At 42.7% G+C, this 8,639-nt stretch overlaps 1 annotated feature.

Moving 5' to 3' along the window:
• Positions 6,259 to 6,478: a silencer, noted in NCBI's record as "fragment chr10:3951736-3951955 (GRCh37/hg19 assembly coordinates)". NCBI's record gives its function as "represses an EF-1alpha promoter that drives an FKBP-Casp9 reporter gene in an ReSE screen in HepG2 liver carcinoma cells {active_cell/tissue: HepG2}" and the evidence as "EXISTENCE:reporter gene assay evidence [ECO:0000049][PMID:32094911]".

The raw sequence follows: 8,639 nt of genomic DNA on the forward strand, positions 1-8,639 counted from the left end.
AAGCAGGAGCACCAGCTGGGGGTCCCTACTGCAGTGCGCTACATAAGAGGTGATGGAGGCTTGCCCTCAGGTGGCGCAGACGAGGCCATGAGAAGCTGTTAGATTCAAGATATATTGATATATTCTATATCTCATTCTATTGATATATATATATATACACACATCAATATCAATATATATCTTATTCTATTGATATATATACAGAACAATATATATCTCATTCTATTGATATATATCAATAGAATATAGCTATAATATCTAATATAGAATATAATATCTCATTCTATTGACATATATTGACATATTGATATACTGATATATATATATATATATATTGATATATTCTGATGACTGTTTTTGTGTTGTTGTTTGTTTGTTCATTTGAGGCAGGGTATCTCTCTGTGGCTTAGGCTGGAGTGCAGTGGAACAATCTCGGCTCACTGCAACCTCTGCCTCCCGGGCTCCCACTTCAGCCTCCAGAGTAGCTGGGGTTACAGGTGCCCACCGCCATGCCTGGCTAATTTTTGTACTTTTGGTAGAGATGGGGTTTTACTGTGTTGGCCAGGCTGGTTTCGAACTCTTGGCCTCAGGTGATCTGCCTGCCTTGACCTCCCAAAGTGTTGGTATTACAGGTGTGAACCACCACGCCCCGCCTGAGATGACTGTTGATAGGACACGCTAATGAAGGTAAGAGAGGGAGAAGAAAAATAGATGACTTTATTTTGTGACCTGAGTAATGAGATAAAAGCCTGGGCTATTTCCTGAGATGGGAAAGACTGAAGATATGGCAGCATTTGGGGAGGATGTCAAAAGTTAGATGAGGACCAGGTGACGCTTTAACTCTATTAAATATCCAAGCAAAGGTGACTGCAAGGCATTTGGATATAAGGAGGTAAGGCACATTGAGTGTTGGCTAAAACAAGGCATACCTGTGACAATGGACCCAAACTCAGGCCAAAAAAATTGGGGTTAAGAGTAATACATTCAGTAATCAGATTAGTACAGTCAGACAAGAATTATTAATTTCTTGCCATGTCCAAAACACTGTCATAAGCCCCATGGGAGTAAATTAGGCAGTCCTAGAAATCAGCCTGGAGGAAGACACAGATGGAAACAATTCTGATACCAGGTATGCTAAGATATGTTTATAACAATAAAGCAAGCTCTATTGGTATGAGGGGACAGAAAGAGTGAGGTCTTTTGATTTGAAAATACCCCTTGAGGTAGGATTAGGGATAAACCTAAAGGATTGTGTAGACTAAAGGATAAGGCTTTTTAAACAAACAAATCACTTTAGCAACAGTGCACTTGAGGAGGTGCTTGTGGAAGGACAGGCAGGCTGATCGGGCAAGGATGTCGGGTGCAGAAGGTTTGCAGTGGCAGAGAGGGCAGGAGAGGCAGACCAGAGGTCTGATAAGGACTTTGGCTTTAATTCTGAAATAATGAGGAACCACCGAAGCCTTATCACTGGGGGATTTCCATGCTCAGGTTGTTGTTTTAGGAAATTGAAGAGAAAAGATGGACCACCATGAGGGAGACGCTACAAATACTGGCCTCATCTTTCCACCTGGATAGTTACCAGCAAACAGTGTGGTTCAGAAACTAATTCTAAATTCGTATGTGGTTCTTGAAGGCCCAGAAAGAGGAAAAATAGAAAATAGTAGAGGAGTTTCTGACTGAGTTATCATACAGCAAAGCCTAGGAGGTTGAGGGGATTGAAGGGAAGAAGTGGCCGACTCTGCCACGTTGGGGTTAGGGAAATAGGGAGTGTCACCAAAGAGGACACTGCAGTTATCTGAGTTAGGTGGTCTGGAGGGAGGACATTTTCCAGAGTCCAGGAGAACACAAGTCAAAGTCATAATCATCCATCTCTCCTATGTTGGGTTCATACCATTAGATAAAGTATGATAATATCACAACAATTTAGGTCAGAGGTTCAGAGGTTCTCTGAAATGAACCATTTCATAAAAAAAAAATAAAAAAAAAGGAATGTCCGGGCACGGTGGCTCACACCTGTAATCCCAGCACTTTGGGAGGCTGAGGTGGGTGGATCACGAGGTCAAGAGATCGAGACCATCCTGGCGATTGAAACCCTGTCTCTACCGAAAATACAAAAATTAGCTGGATGTGGTGGCGGGTGCCTGTAATCCCAGCTACTCAGGAGGCTGAGGTAGGAGAATTCCTTGAACCCAGGAGGCAGAGGTCACAGTGAGCTGAGACCACACCACTGCACTCCAGCTTGGCGACACAGTGAGACTACGTCTCAAAAAAAAAAGAAACATAATTTTCTAAGCATAATTTTCTCAATTTTTTAAGCTTATTGACAAAAATGTATTAGCCATAACACTCACTTATCTATGCAACAACTTTTTAGTTTTCTGTTCTCTTTTCTTTTTCTTTCTTTTATTATTTGAGCCCAAGCATTGAATACACAGTTACTTTTAGACACAAGTAGATTCAATTTTGTAGTGACAGCTGTGTTTCTAAATTGCCCGTCTTCGTTTCTCTTCAGATTCTTTATCTGTAAAATTAGCAAAGTGGCAATCTTCTGTTATGGCCCCGGTGGGGATTGAAGTGATTAGGTGACCACATACCTTGAAAACAGAAATTGTTTTGAGAACATTATAGCCTCAGGGCCTTACAGCTTTGGCCAAAATGGCCACAATAGGGTAATTTCCTTATTACTATTCTTTAATGAACCTAATTCTCTTAGGCAAGATTAGGGGAAAAAAAGAAGGGGGAGAAAAGTGAGAACAGGCAACAGGCTGCAGTGATTTCTTCTCTGGTTTAGTATTTACAAAAAGCCCATGGAGAAAACACCACCATAATGTAGAGAAGGGACAGATGCTCACAGAGTGTCAGATATGCCTGCAAGTCACACAGCTAGTTAGTGACACGAGGGCTGGGCGGGGTGGGGGACGGGGTGGAAAGGGGAGGAGGAAGGGGGAGTACGAAACCAATTCAAATCACAGTTAAAAACACCATCACTACATAGGCTTTCTAGGCCCAAGCCAGTCTATCATCAACATGAGGCATCCCTCAGATCCTTTTACAAAAATCGGTATTAGTTTACATATCTCTCTCAAATCTGAAGGTTGATATGATTTACCTTAAAATTCAGAGATCTAACAAGATTTCACCTATTGGGAGTTCCACAGTGACTTCTGAACATGCGAGCTGAAGGTAAATTATTCTTCTGGGTTCAGGCTGACTGTCTCGCTATCTCTTAAAATCTGTGTTGTTACGAACAAACAATCATCTAAGGCATTTATGAGTCGTGAGCTGTAATGTTGTTAAAACTGAATCACAGAGAAAGCATGGAAGACTCAGGCCCTGCGTGCAGCAGATGGGGTCTTAGGTACCCGAAGGGGCCTCGCCTGCCAAGGCTTAGTGTTTGTATATGAAAACATTCCTATGGTAACGGACCGAGTAAACACGAGAAAACAAACCGGCCAAATGTTATCGTTGAAGCTCTTCACTTCCAGAGGGAGGGTTTAGACTCCCTATTTCTCCACAACTTTTGATTACCAAAATGTGCATTCAGCTTTCTCGATTTTGTTTGGAAAGAAATGAATGAACAACAGCAGAAGCAACATCGGGGGAAACACTTGCCAGTGTCCTGAGCAATTCCTTTGGCTTGTTTATAACCAAATACAGCAGCGGGGCAGGAACACCATGACCTCTGCACGCTCAACCTCTCCAGGAATTCTTTTGGAGCCACTGTGACGCGGCACCAGCCTCACTGCACATCTTTGTTCTTTTTGGTGTTTTCTAAACTGAGTTCCTTTTTTTTTTTTAAAAAAAAAAATACCAACGTGTTCAAATTCTATGCATTGTTTTTATGAATGAGGGTTCTTGAAGGAAGCAAAGTTCTCGCAGGGTGATTCAAACGAGGAGCTCTTGGTGGAGACAACTCACAGACTTAACTCTCAGCAGAGTGAGGTGTCAGCACACCTGAAAACATAATTGTCATGTGCTGTCTGGGTCCAAAAGACCCTTTGTATTTGTACATTTTAAACATTTTAAAGTTTTTCTACAGGTAATTTACAGGTGTGAAAAGTAAACTTTTCATTAGAGAAAATGTTCCTGGTGGTCCTTAGAGATATATTTGTGGTGGGCAGACTTCTAAACAGCTGCCGATAACACCCGTCCCCTGATATTCACACCAGCCTTGGGTACCCTAGCCTCTGGAGAGGGGGCTGGACTTAGTGACTTTGTTCTCCCCAGCAGAACTCAGCAAAAGTGAGGGGTCTCATTTCAATTATTAGGTTACAAAACGTGATTGCCCAGGTAGCAGGCTCCACTGCCCTCCTGAGTTGGTGCTTCATGAAGCAAGCTGCCGTGGTGTAGAAAGCTTCCATGGAGAGGCAGGGACCTGAGGGCGGCCTCCAACCAACAGCCTGTGAGCAGCCACGTCTGGCCAACAGCCCTGTGGCTTGGAAGTGACCCCTTCCTGGCTGAGCTATGTGGTGACCACAGCCCAGCTGCTGCTGGCTGCAGCCTGTGGAAGGTTCCAGCCGAGCTGTGCCAGATCTCGGACCCAAAGAAGCTGAGATCATAAAGGTATGTTGTTCTAAGCCACTATGTCCTGGGATAGTTTGTTATACAGTGATGGATAATAATAATTTCAGTCTTATTGAGGCATGCTTCACACACAACAAAGTTCAACCATTTCATGTATATAATTTTTTTCAAAGTTATAGGTAGAATAATAAATGTTAAGAATCAACTCATAAAACACTTCCATCACCCCCCAAAATTTCCTCCTACTTCTTTCTTCAGCCCCTGGTAACTATCACTCAAGGATTCTTGGGCTGAAGAAAGTTAATCTAGAGTATCATCGTCTGAAAGTGTACCATCTGCGATTTCACTTACACATCCATTCTGACTTCACTGGCGTTTAGAGAACTCATCTCCGTCTCTTTGCCTCCATCTTCTGATTAATATGTGTGGATGGTTTTCCACTGTTAGTTTTCTGATTTGTCATTAATAAAAAATAGAAAATAAAAAGTTCTGATTTCTCAACGCTGATCAATGAGAACTACGACATTTCACAAAGATGCTGCTGCCAGTCTTTTTCCGAATCTTCTCGGAAGATTGTGCAATCGTTTGGAAACTGGAAGAAGAAAACTGGAAACTATTACTTGTTTGGCATTTGCATCACCTCGTAGGCCTTCCATATCGCCTCCATCTCCCATTATTTTAGTATTTTTTAGCATTATTGGGAATAATCGCTGAGTAAGGATGAGTGATAATGATATAATCCCTCAGATTAAAAAATAATGAAACATTTTAAGACAGGGGAAAAATAAGACCTCAAAGATTCCGTAATGTATCTTGATTTTATAACAGAACTCAATGAACTTATATGACAATTAGAAGATTAAATACATTTTGTTCTGTTATAAAAATGGTAATTTTTAAAACAGAATCCAATGGACTTATATGACAATGAAAAGATTAAATGTTTTATTGTGTTACAAAAATGGTATTTTTTTTTTTGAAACAGGGCCTCACTCTGTTGCCCAGGCTGGAGTGCAATGGCATGATCATGGCTCTTTGCAGTCTCGACCACTGGGCTTAAGTGATCCTTTCACCTCCACTTCTTGAGTAGCTGGGACCACTGGTGAGTGCCACCACGCCTGGCTCATTTTTAAAGTATTCGTAGAGACAGGGTTTCACTCTGTTGCTCAGGTGGGTCTTGAACTCCTGGGCTCAAACGATGTGCCTGCCTTGGCCTCCCAAAGTGCTAGGATCATAGTCATGAGCCCACCACACCTGGCCAAAAAAAAAAAAAAAAAAAAATGTATTCTTTTTCTTTGCCTTTTGGAAGACCTCTAAGAACAAATAAAAATCATGAGATGTCATTCAAACTACTTTAAAAATATCTCAATACACTAGACCTGGCTCCAGTGTCTCCTGCTGGTGGACGTGATAAAGACACAGTGAGACCCCAGAGACCAGCAAATGGGGAGCCACAGCACCCCAGGACCCAGGGCAACGTAAAGACATGCGTTAGTGAAGGAGCCCAGCCAGAAACAGCACCCTGAGAAAGGCCACCGGGTTCGAGGAACCCAGGAGGAACCCTGTTATCGCCATGAGGCGGTGCCCAAGCAGGGAGGGCACAGGGCAAGAAAACCTGAAGTCGCTCCTCCCTCCCAGACATCTCTACTGTCTTCACTAAGCCAAACTCGTTCAGCTGCCACCTTCCAGGGCCAAGCAGGCAGAGAACGGGGCTGGGCGGTGACGGTGGAGAATAACCTGCACGTGCTTCTGCCCGTTTCCTTTAAATGTCATGTAGCTCAGGCGTTTCCATTTTTAGCACACGTGGACACATGTCAGTCTTTTAAGCTCCTCGAAACAATGAACCATGGATGACCCACATCAGGGAAGAGCTCATGAAGGAGCTGATGTTCCCTCTGTGCCTGGAAGGATTTTAGCACATTTTGCTGCCTGTGAAGCAGAACTTGCACCCGAAAATGTAATGGACCAAATAAGGATAGAAGTTGAGACAAGGTGGGCTGTGTGGGCAGAGGTGGGCTGTCTAACTGGGCAGAGGAAGCAAGGCTTAAAGAGTGATGTGGGCTCAGTCACGCTGGCTCACGCCTGTAATCCCAGCACTTTGGGAGGCCGAGGCGGGCTGATCATTTGAAGTCAGGAGTTCGAGACCAGCCTGGACAACATGATGAAACCCCGTCTCTACAAAAAATACAAAAATCAGCCAGGCATGGTGGCATGCGCCTGCAGTCCCAGCTACTTGGAAGGCTGACGCAGCTGAATTGCTTGTAGTCACAGCTACTGAGGAGGGAGGCAGAGGCTGCAGTGAGCAGAGATCGTGCCATTGCACTCCAGCAGAGTGAGACTCCATCTCAAGAAAAAAGAAGGCCGGGTGCAGTGGCTAACGCCTGTAATCCCAGCACTTTGTGAGGCCAAGGCAGGTGGATCACGAGGTCAGGAGATCGAGACCATCCTGGCTAACATGGTGAAACCCCGTCTCTACTGAAAATACAAAAAATTAGCCAGGCATAGTGGCGGGTCGGTAGTCCCAGCTACTCAAGAGGCTGAGGCAGGAGAAAGGCGTGAACCTGGGAGGCGGAGCTTGCAGTGAGCCGAGATCATGCCACTGCACTCCAGCCTGGGGGACAGAGCAAGACTCCATCTCAAAAAAAAAAAAAAAAAGTGACGTGGTGTGGCCTAGGCTGCGGAAAACATGGTCTGCCTCTTCCAAACTCTTCACTTTTTATCAGGAGAAAGGCTCATTAGCACGAGCTTCCTTTAATGGCTAGCACAAAATAGGTGTTTAATAAATGACCTTGTTGATGAAGAGGATTAATGAACCAAATCCGCATTGTTTTGCTTAATTAGGTATATTTATTTAGGCATGTATTATTAGCAAAACATTTTGGAGATCTGAGGAAATGATCTGGACAATTTTAAGACAGAAATCCTGATATTTAGCTAGCAGTTATTTTAGGTGTAAATAATCAATGATGTTAAGTAGATTCAATTAAATAATTGTTCAAATGTATTTTGCTTCCTTAGACAAAGGGTAGACATAAACTATACCACGTGGCATAGTCTTTTTTGTTCAAAAAGGTAGTCAGTCTGTCTTTGAAAGATCAACTTGACCTAAAATTGTAATTCAGTGTATCTTCATATAAAATTATTAAATTTTTATCTGCAGAATTATTTTCAACAGCATTGATTGCAATAGTTTTGCGATTATGCTTTCCTTTAGATCATAAGCCAATGACTTCTTCCGTCTTACTTTATGCATAATAGAATTGTTATAAGAGAATTAAACCTGAGAGTACTTCCATTATTGGAAGAATTTCTCCTGTCAGCTTTTTGTCAACTGCTTATAAAACTGTAGAAGAAAAATTATTCTTCAATATACGGTTTTCATTATGCATTAGATGCCTTTAATATTCCTAAGTGCCATAATTTCACATATGCCGTGTGTCACCTGGTGTATGTAAACATGAAATTACTTGGAGATTATTGCATAGTTATATCAAAATGCTGAGCAGAAAAAAAAATGACATCCAATATTCACCCAGGGTTTAGACAATACATTTTTGTTTGATGTGAAAGCATTCATAATTTCATCACAGAAGAGCATTTTTCAATGGTGCTCCCAGATTGCCTGTAAAAGATAATTCCTCCCTTGTGGACAGGCTTCTATCTCATGCCCTCCGCGTGCCGCTGGTTTATCTGTGCAGAGAGGGACACCCAAAGGGGGACAGTGAGCCCACTGTGTCTTTTAGAACCCAAAGCGAGTTACTGCAAACCTCAGGCAATTGAAGTGAATATTGGCTAGCTCAAAAGGCTGTGAAGATGACCACCGTATCTATCTGAGTAATTTTTTTCTTCTGTCTCAGTCTTGAAATCAGGCATGGTTATTTTTATTTTCGGTGTATGCAGGCTTAACCTATGTGCTTATATTCACAATGAACTCTTGAATCGGATCCTCTGTGTTTTGCTGGGGAGTATTCATTCCCCACTTGACCTGCTTTGTTGCTCAAAACTTTGTAGCTCATCTTTGCCTTCCCGTCTGTTTATTCTTGGTGTGGGGTTGTCAAGGAGAAATGTTGGAAGGGAGAGAAGGGAGCAGGCATCATAGATGGTATTACAGGCGG

Source organism: Homo sapiens, chromosome 10 (assembly GCF_000001405.40).
Source record: "Homo sapiens chromosome 10, GRCh38.p14 Primary Assembly".
NCBI classification, from domain to species: domain Eukaryota; kingdom Metazoa; phylum Chordata; class Mammalia; order Primates; family Hominidae; genus Homo; species Homo sapiens.